The sequence below is a fragment of the Homo sapiens genome, chromosome 1 (assembly GCF_000001405.40).
Source record: "Homo sapiens chromosome 1, GRCh38.p14 Primary Assembly".
NCBI classification, from domain to species: Eukaryota; Metazoa; Chordata; class Mammalia; order Primates; family Hominidae; genus Homo; species Homo sapiens.
Window position 1 is genome coordinate 91,976,581 of NC_000001.11, and position 27,120 is coordinate 92,003,700.

General features: G+C 38.1%; 1 protein-coding gene across 16 annotated transcripts in view; it reads left to right on the plus strand.

The window, feature by feature from the left end:
* The window catches only part of BRDT (bromodomain testis associated), a 65,058-nt gene that overhangs the window by 27,210 nt on the left and 10,728 nt on the right, over positions 1–27,120 (plus strand). For all 16 annotated transcript variants that reach the window (NM_001242810.2, NM_001242805.2, NM_001242806.2 and 13 more), the window contains 11 exons: positions 463–813; positions 1,588–1,716; positions 2,989–3,177; positions 4,063–4,235; positions 4,309–4,598; positions 4,688–4,801; positions 5,038–5,175; positions 14,604–14,665; positions 15,684–15,734; positions 17,503–17,674; positions 25,469–25,569. In NM_001242810.2, the coding sequence (NP_001229739.2) occupies positions 463–813; positions 1,588–1,716; positions 2,989–3,177; positions 4,063–4,235; positions 4,309–4,598; positions 4,688–4,801; positions 5,038–5,175; positions 14,604–14,665; positions 15,684–15,734; positions 17,503–17,674; positions 25,469–25,569 (1,770 nt within the window). The remainder of the gene's footprint in view (positions 1–462; positions 814–1,587; positions 1,717–2,988; positions 3,178–4,062; positions 4,236–4,308; positions 4,599–4,687; positions 4,802–5,037; positions 5,176–14,603; positions 14,666–15,683; positions 15,735–17,502; positions 17,675–25,468; positions 25,570–27,120) is intronic.

A 27,120-nucleotide genomic window follows, 5' to 3' on the forward strand; every position in this document is an offset into this window, starting at 1 on the left:
CGCCTCTCTATGCATTTTATGAATAGACACCTAAGAGGCTAGCCAAATTTTAGATATTTCTTAGGTAGAATTTGTACTGTTTGGGTATCTTGATAGTATTAATATCAGAAGTTGTTCACCTATATAGTTTTCTTTTAAAAATCATATATTCTTGCTGATTTTCAGGTGTTCAGAAACTTTTTTTGGTATATGACTTTGATTTTTTACTTTTCATTCATCTTAAGGTTTGCACAAGACATTCTTTGGTATGTGGGAAGATAATATTCGAACTATTTAGTTTGCCTACAAAAGGAAATTAACCTTTAGCAATATTTAATACATGGATTGACAACAATATGTGTAAATTATCTATATGAAGACTTGGTGCCAATAATCTTTCCCTTTTTTTCTTTTAACTGATAAGGAACTATGCTCTGAATATCATCTCAAATATATTTTTGTTGTTGAATTGTTCTGTTGTAGGTTACAAAAGGTGTGAAGAGGAAAGCAGATACAACAACTCCTGCAACTTCAGCAGTTAAAGCAAGTAGTGAATTTTCTCCAACATTCACAGAAAAATCAGTGGCACTGCCACCTATAAAAGAAAATATGCCAAAGAATGTTTTGCCAGATTCTCAGCAACAATATAATGTTGTGAAGACTGTTAAAGTAACTGAACAATTAAGGCACTGTAGTGAGATTCTTAAAGAAATGCTTGCAAAGAAACATTTTTCATATGCATGGCCCTTTTATAATCCTGTTGACGTTAATGCTTTGGGACTCCATAACTACTATGACGTTGTCAAAAATCCGATGGATCTTGGAACTATTAAGGTAAATGTTGCCTTAAAAGGAAGAACTTCTTTTTCTTGATTATAAAAGTAATTCATCATTGCAAAGAAATCTTAAAATCTAGAAAAAGATGAAGGAAATTAAGATCATCCAAGTCACACTATCTGGAGTGAGTCTCTGGAAAATTTTAAAATATATCTTTTTGTTTTCTTCCACTTGAACATGTCCATGGTTCTAGGCCGGGCACAGTGGCTCATGCCTGTAATCTTAGCACTTTGGGAGGCCAAGGCGGGCGGATCACTTGAGGCCAGGAGTTTGAGACCAGCCTGGCCATGGCGAAACTTCGTCTCTACTAAAAAAAAAAAAAAAAAGCTGGGAATGGTGGTGCATGCCTATCGTTCCAGCTACTCCAGAGGCTGAGTCACGAGAATCACTTGAACCTGGGAGGAGGAGAGGTTGCAGTGAGCGGAGATCATCCACTGCACTCCAGGCTGGGTGACAGAGGGAAACTCTGTCTCAAAAAAAAAGATTATATGAAAACACTCTGCTTCTCTGCTTTTGTGATTTTGTTCCAGTTCTCTTTACATGGAATGTCCTCCTTCCTCATCTCTACTTGTCAAAATTCACTGGATTTTTTTTCAAAGTCTAAAAAATATGAAACAAATGTAGCAAAATTTTAACATTTGTCAAATCTGGATGGTGGACAACTGTTTTCTGTATATTTGAATTATTTTGTAATATGAACATTTAATGTACGTGGTCAAATAATTATTGAATTGAACTATTTGTGAATCCTGTAGTTTTTCTTTAATTTAGGAGAAAATGGATAACCAAGAATATAAGGATGCATACAAATTTGCGGCAGATGTTAGATTAATGTTCATGAATTGCTACAAGTACAATCCTCCAGATCACGAAGTTGTGACAATGGCAAGAATGCTTCAGGTGAGCTGTTACTTGTGCTCTGAAGGTGTTTTTCCTCTGAACATAGTTGAAACGTTTTTTAGAACCATAATGTAAGAGATAAAGAATAATAACTCCTACACCTCTAAGTATTAAATGGCAAAAACCACAATTACTTTTGCACCAACAAAACAGTTTATGAATTATACTTTTAAAACTGAGAGGGTTGTGTGTTTTGTTTCGTTTTGTTTTTTTGAGTTCTTGCATCCTTTAGTAGCGAATCTTTTTATGAAGCTGCCCTGCATACAAAGGAAACTGGGGAAATATTAGTGAAGAGGGGATGTAGATAGATGATATATAGGGTTGACTAGAGCCCATGTCCCACTGAGGGGACAGTCTAAATGGCTGCAGGTAATAGAATGATCTACCAACTACAGGGCCCTTGAAAGAAGATCCCCTGTGCTGGCCCGGCGCGGTGGCTCACGCCTGTAATCCCAGCACTTTGGGAGGCCGAGGCGGGTGGATCACTAGGTTAGGAGATGGAGACCATCCTGGCTAACATGATGAAACCCCGTCTCTACTAAAAAATACAAAAAAATTAGCCAGGCATGGTGGCGCCTGTAGTCCCAGCTGCTGGGGGCGCTGAGACAGGAGAATGGCGTGAACCCGGGAGGCAGAGCTTGCAGTGAGCCGAAATTGCGCCACTGCACTCCAGCCTGGGCGACAGAGCGAGACTACGTCTCAAAAAAAAAAAAAAAACAACAACAACAACAAAAAAAACCCTATATTACTTGAGAGGTCTATCTTGCCTGAAAAAAATGGAGAAAAGTTGGTAAGTTTGGCAGGCAGAGAAGCATGAGTCTTTTTTTTTTTTTTGAGATGGAGTTTCGTTCTTGTTGCCCAGGCTGGAGTGTAGTGGCGCAATCTTGGCTCACTGCAACCTCCGCCTCCCGGGTTCAAGCGATTCTCCTGCCTCAGCCACCGAAGTAGCTGGGATTACAGGCATGCGCCACCACACGGGACTAATTTTGTATTTTTAGCAGAGACGGGGTTTCTCCATGTTGGTCAGGCTGGTCTTGATCTCCCCCATCTCCGGTGATCCACCCGCCTCGGCCTCCCTAAGTGCTAAGATTACAGGCATGATCCATGGCGCCTGGCCAGCATGAGTCTTAATACGTTTCTTCTGATATATCTTAAAGGAAAAAAGAATTCTGGTCAAAATATGACACTGAAATGTACTTTTTGTTAAAAGCTGTGATTGCTGGATTAAATAAAAAATACAGAAAACCATAACAAACTAATTTTTCATTACAGGATGTTTTCGAAACGCATTTTTCAAAGATCCCGATTGAACCTGTTGAGAGTATGCCTTTATGTTACATCAAAACAGATATCACAGAAACCACTGGTAGAGAGAACACTAATGAAGCCTCCTCTGAAGGGAACTCTTCTGATGATTCTGAAGATGAGCGAGTTAAGCGTCTTGCAAAGCTTCAGGAGCAGGTAGTTGATTGTATTGATACAAATTTTGATAATCTATGAGCTGCTAATCTATCAGGAAATTTTTTCTGCAGATTTAAAGCTGTTATAGTTAAATCGCTTCATAACTGTGGCTTTATTTACTTATTGGCAAATTTGTAATGTTTAATAGTTTTTCCTAATCAAATATTTATTATCATAAAAATCTGTTATTTTAAAAAATTATGTTATCTATTCCTAATCATGAGTGGTTGATTCTCATTGAAATGATTTATGAAATAGAGATATTTTATGGATGAGGTCTTATTCAACATTAACTGCTTTTTATGATAAAATGTTAAACTGTTCTGGAGCTCAAGTCTGAAAAATCAATGATTAAAAACTTAAGACCAACCAGGCACCGTGGCTCACGCCTGTAACCCCAACACTTTGGGAGTCCAAGGTGGGAGGATTGCTTGAGCTCAGGAGTTTGAGACCAGCTTGGGCAACATAGTGAGACCATGTCTCTACAAAAAAATCAAAAAAACGAGGCAGGAGGATCACTTGAGCTTAGGAGGTTGAGGCTGCAGTGAGCCAGGATCACACCACCGCACTCCCACCTGGGTGACAGAGCAAGACCCTGGCTCAAAAAACAAAAAACTTAAGACCACCTGGAAATGTTATTTATTCTTGATCTGTTGGTAGTTGAATATTTAAGTTTATGGGTTCAGCACATGATAGTTTTTGTAATTTAATATATGCCTTTTAAAAATTCAATGCATTTGTGAAATTAAATAAAAACTTGAAGGAAATGTAATAAGAAATGAATTTCACAAAAGACATTCTTGACTTTGGAGTGGCTTGATTTTTTTCTAGTTTCTTTAATTATTTAGAGACATGAATGTTTACAGATTTTTTTTCTTTTATCAGCTTAAAGCTGTACATCAACAGCTCCAGGTTTTGTCCCAAGTACCTTTCCGTAAGCTAAATAAAAAGAAAGAGAAGTCTAAAAAGGAAAAGAAAAAAGAAAAGGTTAATAACAGCAATGAAAATCCAAGAAAAATGTGTGAGCAAATGAGGCTAAAGGAAAAGTCCAAGAGAAAGTAAGTATCTTTTATTATGATAGCTTATTAAGACAATAACGATAAGTTGGACTAAATTTAGTTTTTGTTACAGTCAGCCAAAGAAAAGGAAACAACAGTTCATTGGTCTAAAATCTGAAGATGAAGATAATGCTAAACCTATGAACTATGATGAGAAAAGGCAGTTAAGTCTGAATATAAACAAACTCCCTGGAGATAAACTTGGGCGAGTAGTTCACATAATACAATCAAGAGAGCCTTCTCTGAGCAATTCCAATCCTGATGAGATAGAGATAGACTTTGAAACACTGAAAGCATCAACACTAAGAGAATTAGAAAAATATGTTTCGGCATGTCTAAGAAAGAGACCATTAAAACCTCCTGGTATGTATTTCTGCATATTAATAGAAATCGGTTTGGTATTTATGTTGGTTTTTGGTTATACTCACTTTCTTCCCTCCTAAATCACACAGCTAAGAAAATAATGATGTCCAAAGAAGAACTTCACTCACAGAAAAAACAGGAATTGGAAAAGCGGTTACTGGATGTTAATAATCAGTTAAATTCTAGAAAACGTCAAACAAAATGTAGGTGGCAGTTTTTGTTTGTTTGTATGTATGTATGTATGTATGTAGAGACAGGGTCTTGTGATATTGCCCAGGCTGGTCTTGAACTCCTGGCCTCATGTGATCCTCCACCTTGGCCTCTCAAAGTGCTGAGATTACAGGCATGCGCGACCATGCCCAGCCTAGGTGGCAGTTTTTAAATGTTCCTGCAACTATTTAATTCTTCTGGCATTTTAATATGTTTCTCTGTTTTGTAGCTGATAAAACGCAACCATCCAAAGCTGTTGAAAATGTTTCCCGACTGAGTGAGAGCAGCAGCAGCAGCAGCAGCTCATCAGAGTCTGAAAGTAGCAGCAGTGACTTAAGCTCTTCAGACAGCAGTGATTCTGAATCAGGTTAGCTGTCCCCTTAAATGTACCTCTGTTGATGGGAGCACTTTTTTTCCTGTAATATTGATTTATATTTTGAAGAAATATTTGTTACTTACCCAGAATCCATGGTTTGTATATCATGCTAATTATTTAATTGCATGTTGACAATCTTAGTATTTTCCCTAAAAGAGATACTGTGTAAGATGAAACTTCGTATTATATGTATATGACGTGTAGGTGTGTAATGCTGAAAAAAAGTTTACTCAAGGAGGGATAGTCTCAATAAATAATTTCAAATCTTAATATCAAAATATATCAGATAATAAAATAATGACCTTTACTTGTTTTATAAAATAAAAGATTATTTGAGAGCACCTTTCGCTTTACTCTCCATGATCTATCAGATCACTCTAATGTTGCAAGGTTGCCATGTTGTGATACTATGTTCTGAATTGAATAATCCTTTTGAGTTAAACCAGTCATCCCAGAAGCTGTGAATCAGATTTTTTTTTCTACTTCTTTGGTTTCTTCACTGTAGAGTATTTTCTTCCATCTATAGAAAAATGTACTTTAAATTCAGATTCTCAGCTATGCTCAAGTGCCATATTATCTTGTATAGTTTAGCAGTTGTATCAAGCTTAGGTCATTTATGTTTTCTTTGTGCTTTTCTATTAATGATTACACAGTTGATAAGTAATCACTACCCCAAGAATACTGACTTGGCAGTGGTGTTCCATCTTTATTGACCAAAAGGCAAATTCAGAATTTGGACACTGTTGTCCCTAAATTTTGCTTTATTTTAAATGAGGTGTTTCTTGTGAAATTCAATTCTCTTTTTAAAGAAACATCTCACACAGAATATTGTGACATCAGGAATTCTTAGCATTATTAAAAGCATCCCTCTTTTTTTCAGTGTGGTAGTATGGTCTGCTGACTTGCAATACATTCTATTTAACTCTTAGTTCTGTTTAGTTTGCATTTATATGGTGCTGATTGCTGTATTTTGTTTTTACATTTCTAAAGTATGTAGTGATAAACATTTTTGGAGAATAAACAGAATTTTTACTTTGGGATTTGTCATACTAGAAAATTTAAAAATGTAGGGCTCTGATTATATAGTATTTCCTTATTTGACTTCTAAGCATAGAACAATACTGGAATAACTTAAGTTGCATTTAGTATTTTCAATTGTAATTAGCATTTGTAACTTCATCTAATAAAGCATTTGTGGTCTAATAAGTTAGAGCACTTTGTCTTTTATTTGTAGGATAAAAGTCTTACTGTTCCTGTTAGTTTGAATTATCTAATTATAATAAATGCTTCAAGTGTTAGAGGAAAAGTACAATATAATACAGAGTTTTCAATAAAGTACCTTAATTTTAATATGAATTATCAGTTTCTGATACAATATTATTATATATTGCTTGGAGGAAAGAATATTTATCACTAACTTGTGTTCTTAAAATAGTGCAATATATACTCTCTGTTTTTCTAACATTCTATCAGAATAACTCAGTCTCAGAATTCAAATCTTTTTTTTTTTTTTTTTTTGAGACGGAGTCTCCCTCTGTTGCCCAGGCTGGAGTGCAGTGGCGCTATCTTAGCTCACTGCAAGCTCCACCTCCTGGGTTCACGCCGTTCTCCTGCCTCAGCCTCCCAAGTAGCTGGGACTACAGGCACGCCCAGCTAATTTTTTGTATTTTTAGTAGAGACGGGGTTTCACCGTGTTAGCCAGGATGGTCTCGATCTCCTGACCTTGTGATCCACCCACCTCGGCCTCCCAAAGTGCTGGGATGCCAGGCATTAGCCACCACGCCTGGCCTAGAATTCAAATCTTAAAACATTGCTGTGTTGAATTTTTATTTTATGGCTGACATTTTTGTTTAATGTCATCTTTTTCAATTAAAAGGAGTTTTAAAATATATAATGTTGAAATCAAAGTAGCAAGTTTTTGTTTTTTTGGTTTTTTTTTTTTGAGACGGATTCTCACTCTGTCGCCCAGGCTGGAGTGCAGTGATGTGATTGTGGCCTCCTCCGCCTCCTGGGTTCAAGTGATCCTCCTACCGCAGTCTCCCAAGTAGCTGGGATTACAAGTGGATGCCACCACACCCAGCTCATTTTTGTATTTTTAGTAGAGATGGGGTTTCACCATGTTGTCCAGGCTGGTCTTGAACTCCTGACCTCAAGTAATTCTCCCTCCTTGGCCTCCCAAAGTGGCGTGAGCCACTGTGCCCAGCCTGAAGTGGCAAGTTTTTATATTTGAACCTACATTATAAATAGTGTACAATTTGTGACACAAGGTCAATTTGTCTTCTGATAATGTTAGTTGTTTATTTTTGAAATTTTAATTGTTTTATGAACAAACTGTGCTTTACTGGAAAAACACTTTATATATGTTATAAATTGCAAATGCAAAGACAAATGGGAAAAAATTATATCTTTGCTTAATACTAAATGAAGTAATTGGACCTTTTGTCCTAATTTTTTTTTGCCTTTCTCCACATATTCTAATGTTCTAAATATCAATTTCAGTTGCAGCTGTTATTTTAAAGGCTCTTAATTTCTAGCATGTAAACTAAGAACATTTTTTACTTCCCTGGGAACAACAACACACACAAAAAAAAGCCCTGAAAATTGTGAAAAATAAGCAAGTCAAATCATATCATTAGCAATATCTACTATAAAAATAAAGCACCTACTATTCTTAATTATACTAGTAACATTCTCAAGGAACAGATGGCAAATTCTATGTCAAAGTTTCAAGCATGGGCAGAATGAGGCTATTTACTAAGAAAATTTAATTTATGAAAATTAGGCACATCAGCAAAAGCTTTATCTGCTACATCAGTAAAAATTGACTGAAAATATGAATATGAAAAATAAAATATAAATATGAAAAAATAATTAAAAAAAATTTTTTTTGAGACAGGGTCTGGCTCTGTCGCCCAGGCTACAGTGCAGTGGCACTATCACGGCTCACTCCTCTGCCTCCTGGGCTCAAGCCATCCTCCTGCCTCAGCCTGCCAAGTAGCTGGGCCTACAGGTGTGTGCCACCACGCTGGGCTAATTTTTGTACTTTTTTTGACAAAAATGTATAGGGTTTCAACATGTTTCCAAGGTTGGCCTTGAACTCCTGAGCTCAAGTGATCCGCCCAGCTCGGCCTCCCAAAGTGCTGGGATTACAGGTCTGAGCCACCATGCTTGGCCCATAAATATGATTTTTATTGCTTTAAAAATAATTATGATTTGGCCAGAACTGAAACTTGCAGTTGGATATCATGATTCCAGAATTCTGATTAATAGGCTTTTGATTATTTATTGAAGATAATAGGCTTTGATTATTATTATTATTTTATTTATTGTGTTTTGAGACGGAGTCTCACTCTGTCGCCCAGGCTGGGGTGCAGTGGCACAATCTTGGCCCACTGCAACCTCCGACTCCCGGGTTCAAGCGATCGAGTAGCTGGGACTACAGGAGCATGCCACCACACCGGCTAATTTTTTATTTTTAGTAGAGACGGGGTTTCACCGTGTTAGCCAGGATGGTCTCGATCTCCTGACCTGGTGATCCGCCCTCCTCGGCCTCCCAAAGAGCTGGGATTACAGGCATGAGCCACCGCGCCTGGCAATTTTTTGTATTTTTAGTAGAAATGGGGTTTCATCATGATGGCTAGGCTGGTCTCAAACTCCTGATCTCAGGTGATCTGCACACCTCGGCCTCCCAAAGTGCTGGGATTACAGGAGTGAGCCATCATGCCTGGTCTTTAGTAATTTTTTCTTAATGTAATTTTCATTTAGTATCTGTCTTCCTGGATTTTCTTATAGCAATTTGGCTATATGCAATTTTTCAAAGCAAGTCAGTCTTTTATAATGTTTGTGTCAGAGACAGAGCTTTAATTAGTTTTGCTTTTTTTTTTTTTTTTTTTGAGACGGAGTCTGCTCTTTTGCCCAGGCTGGAGTGCAGTGGCGCCGTCTGGGCTTACTGCAAGCTCCGCCTCCCGGGTTCACGTTATTCTCCTGCCTCAGCCTGCCGAGCAGCTGGGACTACAGGCGCCCGCCACCACGCCCGGCTAATTTTTTCTATTTTTAGTAGAGACGGGGTTTCACCGTGTTAGCCAGGATGGTCTCGATCTCCTGACCTCGTGATCCGCCCGCCTCGGCCTCCCAAAGTGCTGGGATTACAGGCGTGAGCCACCGCGCCCGGCCCAAATCCTTGAAAAATGAGAGCTCTATGGACTGGAATCAGCATGTCATTGCAAATTTTAATGTGATTTGGTTTTATTTATCTTTTTGACTGGTGTCAGCATATGCAGATAAGTCAAGAACATTTATTAAACTTCGGTATAAATATAAAATCTTTTAAAATGATTTTTCATAACTAAAATCAATAAATGTCAGATCAAAGATGTAGCCAAGCCTTGAAAATGAAATCAATTCTAATGCATGTATCTTATGTTGACTAGGCTGTGCTAGTATGCACACATAAGCTATTGAGAGTTTTCTAATGCTCAACAATCTTGGGGTTACCTTGAGTGATTTATAGGGAGCAATATAACTAATAGCTTTAATCCTGTGACTAATGATACTGAGAAAAAAAAATCAAAAGGAACAGCTTATCAATAGGAGTACTTTTAATTAAAACCTTATAGGAAATAACTCCAGGAACTGTCTAAATATAAGCTCAGATACTTGATTAGTGTGAAATAGAATTTTTTCAGTGTACTTAATTTCAATTTTTACAGAGTTAAACACAAAGAAACTAAATGGTCATGACATCAGTTCACTGTTTTTCTTTAGTTGTTTAAGACTTAAAGTGAATTTGTCACTTCATCCTTTGGACTTTTTGCATTTTATTGGATTTAGTGTAATGTTCAGAGAATGAAATTTATAAGTTCTTTAAATAACATTTGTTTCTTTTTTTAAAAAACTTTCTTAGTTATGGGTGACATCAAACAGGAATAAATAAATTTGTAATTTTAGTACTACCACCTAGGTCTTCTATAGACATGACAAGGATATGATTTTTTTCATGCAAGGTTTGGAAACCAACAAACTTTGTTCAAGCCTAGATTTTAACTTTTTAGAGGAGGATGATTTAGTAAGTGCAGGAAGTATACAAGGAAAGCCTCTAAATAATCTTTGCCATTCAAACTAGAAAGCTAAAGGTACATGACTAGAGTTTATTAAATTATTTTAGACTTTTATAAATTCTTTTTTTTTTTTTTGGAGACAGAGTCTCACTGTTGCCAAGGCTGGAGGGCAGTGGCTCGATCTCAGCTAACTGCAAACTCTGCCTCCTAGGTTCAGGCCTTCCAATTAGCTGGGCAACAGACATGCACCACCAAGCCTGGCTAATTTTTGTATTTTTAGTAGAGAGTGGGTTTCCCCATGTTGGCCAGGCTGGTCTTGAACTCCTGGCTTCAAGCGATCTGCCTGCCTCGGCCTCCCAAAGTGCTGGGATTACAGGCATGAGGCACCACGCCTGGCCTATCAATCACTTTTCTATAATCTGTCCTCTGTAATGAAAGTGTGGTTTCTTTTTCTAATTTAAAAGTCTTTGGTAATTATTTCTGCTATATATGGCATCATATTCTGTTTTTTTGTTTTGTTTTGTTTTTTTGAGATGGAATCTCACTCTGTTGCCCAGGCTGGAGTGCAGTGGTGCGATCTCGGCTCACTGCAACCTACGCTTCCTGGGTTCAAGCAATTCTCCTGCCTCAGCCTCCTGTGTAGCTGGAGCTACAGGTGCACACCACCATCCCCGGCTAATTTTTTTGATATTTTTTAGTAGAGACGGGGTTTCGCCATATTGGCCAGGCTGGTCTCGAACACCTGACCTCATGGTCTGCCCACCTCAGCCTGCCTCAGCCTCTCAAAGTGCTGGGATTACAGGCGTGAGCCACTGCGCCCGGCCTTGTTTTTGTTTTTTGTTTTTTGTTTTTTTAAATCATATTATGTTCCTATTCAACTTTTCAAGTTTTTTAGTTCAAATTGGCTTGCTGATAATATTTAGTATCTCTGGAACATCTATCTCAGTGCTTTGATTGATGATAGGTATTAAGTAAACTCTTTAATCAAATCTCTATGATTGCAGATCTTTTTTTAGTTCTATGGGTTTTTTTTGTTTTGTTTTGTTGAGACAGAGTCTCGCAGTTTCACCCAGGCTGGAGTGCAATGGCACACTCTCCACTCACTGCAACCTCTGCCTCCCGGCTTCAAGCAATTCTTCTGCCTCAGCCTCCTAAGTAGCTGGGATTACGGGCACCTGCCACCACGCCCGGCTAATTTTTGTATTTTTAGTAGAGATAAAGTTTCACAATGTTGACAGGCTGGTCTGGAACTCCTGACCTGGTGATCCACCCACCTTGGCCTCCCAAAGTGCTGGAATCACAGGTGTGAGCCACCGTGCCCGGCCTATGGTTAACTTTTTTTGTCAGTTTAAAATGAAAACTTTGCTAACAAAGTTTTATATTGAGTTTTTGGGGGAGATATGAAATTAGAACATTTATAATTAGAATATATGCCACAGTATGCATTTGTTTAATAGTGCATATATTATCCACTTTGATCCTCTTAAGGTAGGTGTATACATGCTGTCATACTTCCCTAGAGAAATTAGTTGGCAATGTGTAAGTTGTCATTATTGTTATCGATTTTATTTTTATTTATTTATTTATTTATTTTTTTGAGACGGCATCTTGCTCTGTCATCCAGGCTGGAGTGCAGTGGCACCATCTTGGTTCACTGAAACCTCTGCCTCCCAGGTTCAAGTGATTCTTGTGCCTCAGCCTCCCGAGTAGCTGGGATTACAGGTTTGCACCACCACGCCCAGCTAATTTTTGTATTTTTGGTAGGCGGGGGGTTTCACCAGGTTGGCCAGGCTGGTCTCAAACTCCTGACCTCAGGTGATCAGCCTGCCTTGGCTTCCCAAAGTGCTGGGATTACAGGTGTGAGCTACCACGCCCGGCCTTGTTATCGATTTTAATTGATGTTTGCTAGCACTGATAGAGCTTCTTCACTAATTGAAATATGGCTGTAGTTTGGTAGTGAAAATATGTACATTTGTCTTTTAATTTCAAAGGCCAGGAACTCATGAATAAGCATATATATGTAGTTTTAGTTTATTATGCTCTTAAAAAGTCAATTATGTAAGATTAGAATGAGAAGCAAAATGCTGAGACTTTTATGAGACATATATAGTAGGTGTTTTTATTTTTTTAATTAAAATTCCTTGATGCCTTTTGCTAATATCTTTAGATTTTGAGGTGCTAAGGTTTTGGGACTTCAAACTCCTGACCTCAAGTGATCCACCTGCCTCGGCCTCCCAAAGTGCTGGGATTACAGGCGTAAGCCACTGTGCCAGCCTTGAGGTGCTAAGTTTTATAATAATTTTGAGCCTAGTTTTATGTATTAGAAAACTAAGGTGATGCCCTTGAATTTTTTTTTTTTAGTAGAACACCAATCTGGTATGTCATATTTGTACTAAAGAGTTTATATTGTAGGATAATGTAGTTTTAGGTGCATATTTGAATAATTTAGATGTATAGATATACATATATGATCATATTAATGAAGTCTTTTTGGTTTTTGTTGTTTTTTTGTTCAAAGCTGAAACCATAATTTCTCCTTTATGATTATGATTATTTTTAGACAGCTTCTGGCTCTGTCACCCAGACTGGAGTGCAGTGGTGCAATCTCGGCTCACTGCAACCTCTGCCTTTTGGGTTCAAGCTATTCTCCCGCCTCAGCCTCCCAAATAGCTGGGACTACAAGTGCACACCACCACACCTGGCTAATTTTTGTATTTTTACTAGAGATGGGGTTTCAACTTGTTGGCCAGGCTGGTCTTGAACTCCTGACCTCAAGTGATCTAACCACCTTGGCCTCCCAAAGTGCTGGGATTACAGGCATGAGCCACCATGCCCTGCCTAATATGTCCTTTAAATGCGAAAGCTACCTGGATGTATATTCTCAATCTTCTCAGTCTGTCTCCTTCTCTTCCTCCTATGCCTAGCCCACAACACTTAAATAATACTTAGCTGAGTGACATTAAGAAGGTTCATGTCATTTTAAATACTTGAATTATTTAAATTAAAGGATGTCATTGAGTGGCATTTAGCAATTTTAACAATGTCCAGCATCAAACATTTTAGGAGAGGAAAGAACAGTAACACATCCAGTGGAAACTGATGGCTTTTCAGAAGGCAGAAGGTAATTATTAAAATTAGAATGTTTTAAGTTTGAATAATGTTTGGTGTTGACCATCCGTGGTGTCCTGGAGCATGAAACAAATAACACTCAGGTGGTCATGAAAGCTGGCTTGGAGAGACTGATCAGGGCAGTTACTACCAGTTTGGTGCTTTACCTTACTGACCCAGGATTATGACTGGGGAGGATAGCATCAGAAACAATTGTAGGATAAAGAAAGAGAAACCCACTAGAACCGTGTTGGAGAGATCTCTTTTTATGTCTGCTTCTACTGCCAGTGTCAGCTGTACAGTATTTCTAAAGGCAGAGGAGATACTATAAAACTCATTTCTTGCTGTATAGCTGAGGCTGCCAAATAGCTTAGAAGTATTTAATCAGATAGAATCTTTATTATAGAGTTTAGCAAGCACAGCAGACTTTTCCACAGAACTAAAATAGCTTTACTTTTAATAAAAGACTGTATCCTCTCAGATAAATGACATCCCCTTCTCTTATAGTAAATTCTTTATTTTTTAAATTAAGCCTCTTAGGGCTATATTTATGGCTACTTGGTAAAAGGTGATTTTAGCATAATGGATGCTGCTTGTTTGAAACCTTATCTCTGTTGCAACATATTCCTTTTTAAACTGTCAATTATTCAAGCTTGTTACTGTTATGTAACATACTGCGCTTTTTGGCCTAAACATAATGTAAATTGAAATTTGTGAGTGGACATTTACTCTACTATAGGAAAATAAAATAATCTTGAAAGCAGGTATCCCTTTAGAAATTTTAGCTGATTCAAGGAGGGTGAAAACCTGTGACTCTAAGGATTTCTTGATATGTTTGTAATAAAGGGATTTTCTTGAAATCACCCCTGTATTTCTTTCTTTTTTTGAGACAGAGTCTCACTCTCTTGCCCAGCCTGGAGTGCAGTGGCGTGATCTTGGCTCACTGCAACCTCCGCTTCCCAGGTTTAAGCAATTCTCCTGCCTCAGCCTCCTGAGTAGCTGGGACTACAGGCGTGTGCCACCACACCGTGCTAATTTTTTGTATTTTTAGTAGAGATGGGGTTTCACCGTGTTAGCCAGGATGGTCTCCATCTCCTGACCTCGTGATCCACCTGCCTCGGCCTCCCAAAGTGCTGGGATTACAGGCATGAGCCACTGTGCCCAGCCCCCACTGTGTTTCTAATATGGAAAAATTATAACTTGGTATTTTTTAAGCTAATAAATATTAAAATATTTATGTGTATACATTTGCAGAAATGTTCCCTAAGTTTACAGAAGTAAAACCAAATGATTCTCCTTCTAAAGAGAATGTAAAGGTAAGTGAATTCTTTATTTGTATCTGAATTTTAAAAGTATGTATAACTCATGGGTATAGTAGTAGCTTTCTTTAAAATTGTTTTCAATTTTATTTACACGAAGAAAGTTGTCACTGTTTTTAGCTTATCAACTAAATGTTCAATGATTTCTTCCTGAAGAAAACCGAATAGGGAAGCTATTTGGCTTCATTTTTCAATAAGACATAACATTTATGTAAGCCAAATGGATAAGTAGAACAAATTCTAGAAGCTTCAGCTTATCCCTGAGAGTCTGAATACAGAGGGATGGCCTTGGTATCCTGAATGAGTGTACAAAACTATGCGTACAGTGAAGTGAAATTTCTCAAAAGATGGTAGGAGAATGGTAGTTAAGGTTTCTACAGATAAAGCTTATAATTGCCAGCTATCCATTTTGGCACATCTATGTTTGACTAGTAGTTGATGTGCTTTGAAAAGAACAGAAGTGGCCAGGCGAGGTGGCTCACGCCTGTAATCCCAGCACTTTGGGAGGCCGAGGCGGGCAGATCATGAAGTCAGGAGATCGAGACCATCCTGGCTAATACGGTGAAACCCCGTCTCTACTAAAAATACAAAAAATTAGCCGGGCATGGCGCCATGCGCCTGTAATCCCAGCTACTTGGGAGGCTGAGGCAGGAGGATGGCGTGAACCCGGGAGGCAGAGCTTCCAGTGAGCCGAGATTGTGCCACTGCACTCCAGCCTGGGCGACAGAGCAAGACTCTGTCTCAAAAAAAAAAAAAAAAAAAAAAAAAAAGAAAAGAAAAAGAAAAGAACAGAAGTGATTTTTTACTAGCTCAAGTTGTCATCCTCATATACATTTTTTTCCCTTTGTACCCCTTCCAAACATACAATTATTTATGTAACAACATCTAACTAGGTTAGGGAAACACAATAATAAATAATACTGTCTTAAAAGAGCTCTAATTTGTGAAAAAGAAATATAATCACATGGTTAAGAGATAATATGATTAATGCTATAATCTATATAATTATTTTTAGAAAATGAAGAATGAATGCATACCGCCTGAAGGAAGAACAGGCGTCACACAGGTAATGCTTAAAATGTGTTTTAAAGAACAGGGGAAGAAATGGTTTACATATAGATTAGGGGCTTACTTTTTAAAATAAGTAATAGCATGAAGAGAGGCAAAAAAAAAAAAAAAAAACCACAGCAAGTATATTCAGAGAAATATGGAAGCTGAGGGTATTTATTAGATGGCTTGGAGTATATAACAGGGCTTTGGACACGTAAGTGAAATTATACATATATATATTTTGTTGTTGTTGTTGAGACAGAGTCTCGCTCTATCACCCAGGCTGGAGTGCAGTGGCATGATCTTCCCTCACTTCAACCTCTGCCTTTCGGGTTCAAGCGATTCTCATGCCTCAGTCTCCGGAGTAGCTGAGACCACAGGCACACACCACCATGCCCAGCTAATTTTTATATTTTTAGTAGAAACGGGGTTTCACCATGTTGGCCAAGCTGGTCTCGAACTCCAGACTTTAGGTGACCCACTCACCTCAGCCTCCCAAAGTGCTGGGATTACAGGCGTGAGCCACCATGCCTGGCCTTCCCATTCCTTTTGAATAGGAAGAAGTTATAGATGGTCTGTCTTGCCAAAGGTGTATTAGTGGAATAAAAAATTATGTCAAGTTATGAAGGAACTTTGGAAGCATTTTTATCTCAATACGTAGCATGTAGAATGCCACCTTTTTAATGGTCTATTTTTGGTCAAAATTTTTTCACTTTCACTCACTGAGGAAAAAAATGCCTATTTATGGTAAAAGGTAGTATATATTAATCCATAGGTTCATGTATGAATGTATATATTTGTGTAGTTCAGAAAGTGATTTTTTTCTTTGGCTGATTTAAACCTGAGCATTAGGCTTTGAGCTTTGGCCTGGGTCTATATTGTTGTAATAAACATTCCTATAGCATTTGTTTTATTCATATTTGCATAGGTGTTACTTGTACACTTGCCTACCTACTCACTCACCCCAATGCCTTGTTAGACAAAGGAGAAAGACTGTCTTATTTATCTCTGTACCATCTACAACTCAGAGCTTAGTTAGATAAGGCTACTGGGCTTTGCTACTGTAACTTCGCTTGCCACAGAATAGGTGTGAGATTTCAGGTAAGCTGCTTCTATTATTTCTAGAAAATGTAAGTAGAGATAAAAATTATACCTAACTCAGCATTATTGTGAGAATTAAAGAAAAACCATATAAAGGACTTACCCTGGTACCTCACACATAGTAAACATTAAATAAATGTTAGCTATTATTACACTACAGCTTTTATTTAATAGTTACCTGAATATTGAATTAGAATTTATTGATAGTCTTGTGGGTTGACCATAATGTAATTTTAAATTTATCCCCTTATGTCTGTAATACAGTAAGGAAAAATGGCTAAAGTAAGTGAATTGGTCTCTAGATTTGCTATAAAAGCTCAGGGGTTTGTTTTGTTTTGTTTTTTAGTAATTACAGGAAAGCTTTAAATGAATAGCATTGTTTAATAATATACATGTATACTCATGTAAAATATACATGCATACTCATAACTAAGATCATAGGCTTTGACTTACTCTACCTCTTGTAAGCCATATAATGGCCAAGTTATTTAATGCTTTTAAACCCCAGTTTGCTCATTTGCAAGATAGGGATAACTATACATTATAGATTTGTGTGACTTAAATAATAAGGTATTTTAAAAAGGTAGCATTAAATTATATTCTTGACTCTTGTGTTTCTGTTCTCTTTGGTATACTTCTTGTATGGTTAAAACTAAGTGATAACTTTGATTTTGTTTTAACAGATAGGATATTGTGTGCAAGACACAACCTCTGCCAATACTACCCTTGTTCATCAGACCACACCTTCACATGTAATGCCACCAAATCACCACCAATTAGCATTTAATTATCAAGAATTAGAACATTTACAGACTGTGAAAAACATTTCACCTTTACAAATTCTGCCTCCCTCAGGTAAGAAATTAACAAGTAAACAACTGTTATTGAGAAATTGACTTCTAAACCTATACATATATGAAAATGTTATGGTCATCTTAAATGTTAAATATCTGGGAAATACCAACAATCATAACTAGTAAATTCCAGGTTACAAATAATCACTGAAGCACATCATTAGAAATTATCTGCTTTATACCTGTAGGCATTCATTATATTTAAAAGAAAGAAAATTATGTATATAGTTCACACCCAATTTACTTTCCCAGATCTGAGCAGATCTGGGAAATACTGTTTTAACTTCCATGACACCTATCTGGGTTAGAAAAGTAGGAAAGAATAAGGGAGGGCCGGGCGCGGTGGCTCACGCCTGTAATCCCAGCACTTTGGGAGGCCGAGGCGGGCGGATCACGAGGTCAGGAGATTGAGACCATCCCGGCTAAAAAACGGTGAAACCCCGTCTCTACTAAAAATACAAAAAATTAGCCGGGCGCAGTGGCGGGCGCCTGTAGTCCCAGCTACTTGGGAGGCTGAGGCAGGAGAATGGCGTGAACCCAGGAGGCGGAGCTTGCAGTGAGCCGAGATCCCGCCACTGCACTCCAGCCTGGGCGACAGAGCAAGACTCCGTCTCAAAAAAAAAAAAAAAAAAAAAAAAAGAATAAGGGAAAGATACTTAGAGATTCTATAAGTAAAGAAAAGAAGTTACAGATATATAAAATAGTTTACAGTTAAGGAAACTTGGGCTAGAAATACTTGCCTAAGGGTAGTTCCTATTTGTCTAAAACTGGTTAAATTTTTATATTTTTAGATTCATTTGACTTAATATCTTATCAGAAGGGAAAGTTTTGCCTGTCTCAACTTGGTTCTGGTGGGTTGAAGGGGATGTGTGGCACGAAGGGTACTTCTGATACGAGTTTAGCCTAGAGCATGACTAAACCTTGAGACACTAATGTATTTAGGCCTAGGTTAAGGGCAGATATGAATATTCCTTGTCTATTCTTCTTCCCTCTAGAATGTTCCCTGGTTTCCACTTGGCCACCCAAGGGCAGAGGTATCTCCCTAGCAGAATAAATTTCCAAGCTGTTTTGCTGCAACACAGATTAGGAGGAAGAGGGAGATGTTTTGATCCTTCTTCACAGCTTTCAGTTTAAAATCTCCCTACTATTCTGTGTGTGTGTGTGTGTGTGTGTGTGTGTGTGTGTGTGTGTGTGTGTGTGTGTGTTGTTTAAATTTTTTTTTGAGATGGAGTCTCGCTCTGTCTTGCAGGTGGGAGTGCAGTGGCACAATCTTGGCTCATTGCAACCTCCGCAATGATTCCCGGGTTTAAGCGATTCTCCTGCCTCAGCCTCCTGAGTAGCTGGGATTACAGGCATGTGCCACCATGCCCAGCTAATTTTTTTGTAGTTTTTTTTTTTTTTGAGACAGAGTTTCATTCTTGTTGCCCAGGGTGGGTGCAGTGGTGCAATCTTGGCTCACTGCAACCTCCGTCTCCCAGGTTCAAGTGATTCTCCTGTCTCAGCCTCCTGAGTAGCTGTGATTACAGGCATGTACCACCACGCCCAGCTAATTTTTTGTCTTTTTAGTAGAGACAGGGTTTCACCATGTTGGTCAGGCTGGTCTCGAACTCTTGACCTCAGATGATCCGCTTGCCTCAGCCTCCCTATTCTGTGTTTGAATATTCCATTTTGTCTTTAATTAAAGTTATATCTCTTCATTGTGGGGAAGGGAATGGAGATCAATGGAGAAAATATCTAAGGCCACACTGGAGGGCATTCCAGGAAGAAGAATAAACAAATATCCAAAGTATGAAATATTTATGTCTACTCTTTTTTTGAAATACATTTTCAAGATACTTGGAGGATAACAGAAGATATGATAGCTATAGGTCATGAGTTACCTAGAATACCAGTGCCATTAATTTGTATACAACAAATTATATACAAATTTGTATACTTTGTGTACAACAAGGAGCTTTGTATAGGAAGCATAATCAGATTTTATTCAATTTTATTTTATTTATTTATTTTTTTGACACAGAGTCTCGCCCTGTTGCCCAGGCTGGAGTGTAGTAGCACAACCTCTGCTCACCGCAACCTCTGCCTCCCGGGTTCAAGCAATTCTCATGCCTCAGCCACCCAAGTAGTTGGGATTACAGGCATGCACCACCATATGCGGCTAATTTTTGTACTTTTTGTAGAGACGATTTCACCATGTTGGCCAGGCTGGTCTTGAACTCCTGGACTCAAGTGATCCACCCACCTTGGCCTCCCAAAGTTCTGGGATTACAGGCGTGAGCCACCACACCCAGCCCCAGGTTTTATAATAGGGAAAAAATTGCTGCTTACCATGTAGAGGATGGATTAAGATGATGCTCTGATGTAGTTAGGATTAAGTAAGGACACTGAATGCTGTAGTCTAGGAAATAAATTATTAGGACCAAAACTAACACAGCAACTGTAGAAAGCATGTGGATATATAAGGTATTTTTGTGGCAGAATTGATATACTTCGTTAGGATGAATGAGCTACTGGGAGATTATCTAATAGTTGGATTGAAAACAGGGGACAGAACTCATTTGGCACATGTTTGAGATGTTACAGAATATCTAAGTGGAAATATAAAGCTAGAAATAGGTTTCTAGAACTAACAGGGTGTAACAGGAATTAGAAATTAGGAATTAACAGTATGTAGAAGCTACTTGAAGCCATAAGAATAAATGAAAACACCCAGGAAAATCTGCAGAGCAGGAAGAGAAAAGCTTAAAGACAAAATTCTAAGAAACAAAACCTCCTCAGTAAAAGTAGAAAAAAATAGTTAAAAGAAGAGGTAATCAATGGTAGAGAAAAAGAAAAAATAGTGTAATAAAAGCCCAGGAAGATAGATTTTTTTTTTAGAAGGAAATCAAAAGTATCACATACTGCAGAGCATTTAAGTAGGATGAGGAATGGAGAGAGAGCATTACATTGGGAATGTGAGAATTTTTACTTTTGCGGAAGCTTTTTTAGTACCTGTTGTGATGGGGCAGAAACCAGATTGTTGTAAATTGAGAAGTAATGGAATTTGAGTGTAGTGAATGTAAAGCATTCTTTGAAGAACTTTGTTGGTAAAGAGGATGGAAAGATATTTGTGGCTTTAACAGGAAAATAGATTTTTTGGAGGAGTGGGCAAGATTATTTTGAGTTTTTTAATTGGAGGGATTTGAACATTTGAAGGCTCATTATAAAGAGCTAAAGTAGGAAAAAGTTACTCTTTTAACTAGAGTATGTTTTATAAGAATGCTAGGGTAGCCTTGCCCTTGAAAAGGAATAGATTATGAAAAACAAAGGTGAGAATGTAGTCAAGGTGTTCTCTTATTCCTAATTTAAGAAAACACCCTATCTATGAAAAGTCAGGCTTTTAATACCTACACCTTCAGTAAGGATCAGTTTATTATATTACTTGAAATTCTGTTTATATGATGCCTATTAGTAAGCTAATATATAAAGGAAAGTTTGGATGATGCCAGAGTAGCTGTTCTTTTGCAGTTAGCAAGATTCTCAGAAACAACATGGTTTACATTTGCCAACTGTAGGTGGCACTATGCCCAAGGGAAATTGCAAATGTATGTGAGCCATAAAATTTATAGAGACATTTTCTTTTTCTGGAGTTAAATCTCAATAGAAATAAATTTTTTGTTAAACCTTACAATTAAATGATAAAAGCAATATGTTGAAGTTTTCTTATTGGAAAAATAGTTTGACAAAATGTTAGAGTACATAAAAGATTAAAAAATGAATTTTTAAGTGTTACTGGTTTTCATCACACCTGCCCACATATGATCTCCACATGAAATGGACAATGTTGAATTTTTTTTCCTTATAAGTTGAAGCTTTTAGCCATACCCTTATCCTTATAGTTTACCCTTTCCCCTTCTCATAAAAACTTCACTAAATTGCCGCCATGAAAAGGGATGAGTTCATGTCCTTTGCAGGGACATGGATGAAGCTGGAAACCATCATCCTCAGCAAACTAATACAAGAACAGAAAACCAAACACTGCATGTTCTCACTCATAAGTGGGAGTTGAACACTGAGAGCACATGGACACAGGGAGGGGAACATCACACACTGGGGCCTGTTGGGGGATGGGGGGCTAGCAGAGGGGTAGCATTAGGAAAAATACCTAATGTAGATGACAGGTTGATGGGTACAGCAAACCACTATGGCACGTGTAACAAACCTGCACATTCTGCGCATGTATCCCAGAACTTAAAGTATAATAAAAAAATTTTTTTAAACTTCACCAAATTATATTGAGTTTTTAAAATATTTAGGCTGTTATATAAACATGAATTCATAATTGCAAATGAAAAAGTAAATCCAGGAGTTTGCTATCTCATAGGAGAAATAAACAACTGGTATATAAAGTAAAAATAATGTGCCCTGAAAGAACCTAAAGTGAAGTTTAAGGAGGTGAAGAAGGCAGAATCACCTGATGTGTTTGGCAGATACATATTTTACAGAATGAGTATCATTTGAGCTGGATAGTGCAGAAAAAAAATAAGGCTTACCTATGTTTATTTAGTATGGAAAGGCATTTGGATGGAGGAAGCAACATGAATGTGAAGGTATTTAGGCAACTCATAATTCCATGTGATTAAAGATTTGGTTGGATTAAACAGGAATGTGGAAAATTACAAAGGTAGACCAGGTTTAGATCATTTAACCCTTTAGATACTTTGGACTTAATTATAATAGCATAGTCAGTGGGGAGGCAATGAAGGTTTTTTTGAGTGAAGGTGTGCCTCTGAGTGATTAATTTGCCAATATTATTTAGGTGAGTTGAAGGAAAGGAGAATATAGAGACCAGAGAAGGGAAGGAGACCAGCTGGGCTGTTGCAGTAGTAGGGAAAAAATGACATAAAGTGATAGAAGGAAAGAGAAGGGGAAAGTTAAAAGAAATTGCAAGAGTAGAATGGGCAGGTCTGCAAAATATGAAAACATGCTGGGTTAATAACCCAGGGATATAAGCTTCGGTGGCTCACAGGATACTGGCTGGATACTGTCCAGGTTGACAGACCCGGGACACAAGATGAAGAATAGGCTTCTGAGGAAAGATGAGTTTTGTAGTCTTTTGAGGTATCACAGGGTCATTCATGTAAAAATATTTTTCAGAGAGTTGGACCCTTGACATACTTCCTAGGCTTTTATGACACCTCTCTTAACAATCCCATCTGTCTGTTCCTTACAGATATCTCTTTATTTGCCTCCCTTTAGATGTTGATAATTCTCTGAATTGCATCCTTAAGCCTCTCTGTTTTTTTCATCTACCCCAGAATTTCCCAACCATGTTTCAAAGCACAGTCTTACTGAATGAATGTCCCCTCAGCTCTTATAGCAATGAGCTGGGAGCAGCCTTTCCATTTATGCAGGTGGCCATACATTGATCATTTTCTATATATCATGACATGGAAAAGGTTGGAAGCAGTGCTCTATACTTGGGTGATCTTTGGCATCCATGACTTCTAGTCTCATTTTTACAATTCAAATGTATCCAGGCCCCAGGCATGTTTATACAACTCTACTAAATGTCTTTACTTAAACATCACATAGGCATTCCAAACACAGCCATGTAAAAACTGAATTCCCCCTTTTAGTCCTCAGATTGTATTTATTTTTTTGAGACAGTCTGCCTGTGTTGCTCAGGCTGGAGTACAGTGGCGCAAATATGGCTCACTGCAGCCTCAACCGCCTGGGCTCAAGTCATCCTCCTACCTCAGCCTCTCAAGTAGCTGGGACCACAAATGTGTGCCACCATGCCCAGCTAAGTTGTTATTTGTTTGTTTTGTTTGGTAGAGATGGGATCTCACCATGGCTGGTCTCAAACTTCTGGGCTTAAGGAATCCTCCCGCCTTGGCCTCCCAAAGTGCTGGGATTGCAGGCCTGAGCCAGTGCACCCAGTCTGGTCCCCAGATTTTAATCCTTCCTCTTTAATTGTCAATAATGGCACTATCACCACTTACCAACTTAGAGTCAGCAAATTAAGGGTCACTTTAGAATTTCACTTACCATACATACTTTTTCTCCTTCCTAAATAATCACTGACAGGAAGCAGAGAAGGGAAGGCAGTCCTATACTTACAGCTTTTCTCACTATTTTTTCCCTTTCCTTGTTGAAGTGAGGAAACATGGCTACATTGAGGCTGTGTACAGACGTACAAATTAAAAATGTGAGCTTTTGTTCTGCATTCTTTGACAGTGTTTTGTCTTGCCCTCCTATGCTCACTGCTATTCCTTGATGTTCCTTGCTCTCTTCTTCTAACCTCAACCTCAGTATGATTTAGCCAGAGAATCAGTCAAGGGATTGATGGATGGTAGAAGCTTAAATGTAAGTCCCTATAATATGTAAGTGGCCAGGATTTTGTTAGTTTGGGTTAGTTAACAAAGACAGCAGCTCAGTTTTGATTTGTCCCTCTTGTTCTTCAGCCACGAATTAGAACCTGTAGACTATGACTAGAGAGAATTGAATCAAGTGATCAATTAAGTTTCACGCATCAGGATGTTCCATGTTGCAGATGACAGAAAACTCAGCCCAAACTGATTTAATAAAGGAATTTTGTTGGCATACATAAGCAATAGTCCAAAGATAGGTCAATCTTTTAGTCATGGCTTGATAAGGGCTCACACTCTGTAGTTAATCTTCACAATAATAATAAATGAAATATTTGCATGAAAACTTAAGAATTAATGAAATTGCATAGTTTGTTCTCCTCACCTCAGAGTCAGACTTACTGCGTTTCACATCCCTGTTCCCTTGGTAGCTATTTTGAGTGTCTGGTATCTTAGTTTCCCTCTCTGTGTTTTTTTGTCTCCAATTGGCCACCCAGGCAGCATCTTTCCCTTGGAAGCCCTGCACTGGCTTAGGTCTGCTCTTCCTAAATGAGTTACTGATGGTGAGATAGAATTACCAGGATTGGCTTGGCCTTATTAAAACCCACCTCTAGGCTGGGCGCGTAATACCTGAGGATAGTTATTACATTTTAGTCATCCTTACGTTCCCAGTGCTTAGTACATAGTATGTGCTCAGTAAATGTTTAGTGATAACTGGGTTTTATCAGCAGTCTAAATTGCTTTAGATAAGTTATGCTATGGTTTTGAATGTTTGTCCTCTCCAAAACTCATGTTGAAATTTACAGGCCTGGCCAGCCACAATGGCTCATGCCTGTAATCCCAGCACTTTGGGAGGCTGAGGCGGGCAGATCACTGAAGGTCAGGAGTTCAAGTCCAGCCTGGCCAACATGGTAAAACCCCATCTCTACTAAAAATACAAAAATTAACCAGGCATGGTGGTGGGTGCCTGTAATCCCAGCTACTCAGGGGGCTAAAGCAGGGGAATTGCTTGAACCTTGGAGGTGGAGGTTGCAGTGAGCCAAGATTGCACCACTGTACTTCAGCCTAGAGCATCAAAGCAAGACCCTCTCCCCGCAAAAAAAAAAAACACACCTCTGGAGCTGAGGTCAGTCTAAACTGGAGAGCTGCTATAGCATGGGGTCAGATAAAAAGGTTTTGGTGGGTGAGTATGATGTCAGCTATATTTCATGCTGACCAGAACAAGCAAAAATAACAAAAAAAGAGCAAAGTGGTAACTTTCAAATGAGAAATATTTTATAGTATAACAAGTCCCTAACTAAGAATATTCCAAAGTTAAATGATGCATCAAAAAATTAGTCTCTTTGTTTTCATAGTGTCTGACCTGGAAGGAAAAATAAAATCAAATTCTGGGTAAGTAGGATGAAATATTTTAATTATACTATTCTAAAAATGTGTGCATCCAGGTGATTCTGAACAGCTCTCAAATGGCATAACTGTGATGCATCCATCTGGTGATAGTGACACAACGATGTTAGAATCTGAATGTCAAGCTCCTGTACAGAAGGTAAAAGTAATTTTTTTTTTCTAACAAATCTTGAAGGGATTTGAAATTGGGTTTGGAAGTGGTACAAGAGGTATTTAAAAGCCCTGACTTAAATGAAATGTTGGATCTCTAAGCCTAATTTTTGCCTACGTAATTTTTTGAAAAAGTACTTCTGAGCAACATCCTTCCCCTACCCACATACCTACCTATCATTGGTCCTCTTGTTTGTGTTTTTTTGTTGTTGTTTTTTTTTGAGATGGAGTCTCACTCTGTCGCCTAGGCTGGAGTGCCGTGGCACGATCTCGGCTCACTGCAACCTCTGCCTCCCAGATTCAAGCGATTCTCATGCCTCAGCCTCCCAAGTAGCTGGGATTACAGGTGTGTACCACCATGCCCAGCTAATTTTTTGTATTTTTATTGGAGGAGACAGTGTTTTGCCACGTTGGCCAGGTTGGTCTCAAACTCCTGATCTTAGGTGATCCACCCACCTGGCCTCTCAAAGTGTTGGGATTACAGGCATGAGCCACCATGCTTGGCCCTTTTGTTTGTGTTTAATTGAAAGTTCTATAATGTTGATATTTGCCAGTGATCTCAATTTTAAAGCATGTCATAAAACCATCTTTTAGAATCTATTCTAGGGATATCTAAGAAATCCAAGGGATTTCCTAATGGAGTCTTAATGTCTACTTAATCTTCAAATTATATACTGATATCATTCTTTCAACAAATATTCTAGATGATTGGGATACATTAAGATACATAAGGTACTGTTCAAGGTGTTTTCAGAAACTATGAAAGGAATATTTTTATATATTTTTTCTCTATCCCCCTCCATCCCTCTGTTCCATTACCCTCTACTTCTTACCTTTTCCTTGCAAGTACTTTAGAGGACAAATCTAAAGGTGAGAAGGTGGAAGGTGAGATGCTTTAGTTGAGTGAGTCATAGAACTAGTAATTAGCCCATTCCATAGGTAGAGACAAAAACAGGTTTTATTGACAACTTACAGGAAAGCACAACTGGCTAATCATTGGTGATTGGTAAAGGTCATTGTGTTGGGGACAGGGAGGGATGTTTTGACTCCTTTTATTACTTCAGGATAGAAATAAAAGGCCTATAAATATATCTAGTCATACATTTTCTTTTGCCTTATATGGGGCCCTAGACAAGTTTTCTCCTCATATTTCATGGAAATACATCAAAAGTGCAATCAAGCATAATTATTAAGGAGATAATTATTTTTAGAAATTCAGCAGAAGATGTTTTAGTATTGCACAGCCCTCTTTCCGTATTATAGATGGACAGGTTTAACTGTAGAAAGGGCCATCTAGACTTGTGCTTATCTAATATGGTAGCCTCTGGTCACATGTGGCTAATTGAGCCCTTGACATGTAGCTAAAGGAGCTAAGTTTTAAAATTTGTCTTTTAATTAAAATTTAAAATGGACACAATTCAGTTTCGGAAGACTTAGATGTGTTTGGAACAGTTTGACTATACATAACTAGTTTTTCAACTGTGAATTTTATGAAATCTAATTATAGATCAATTGTTTCTAGTAGGAATTTAGCATTTGA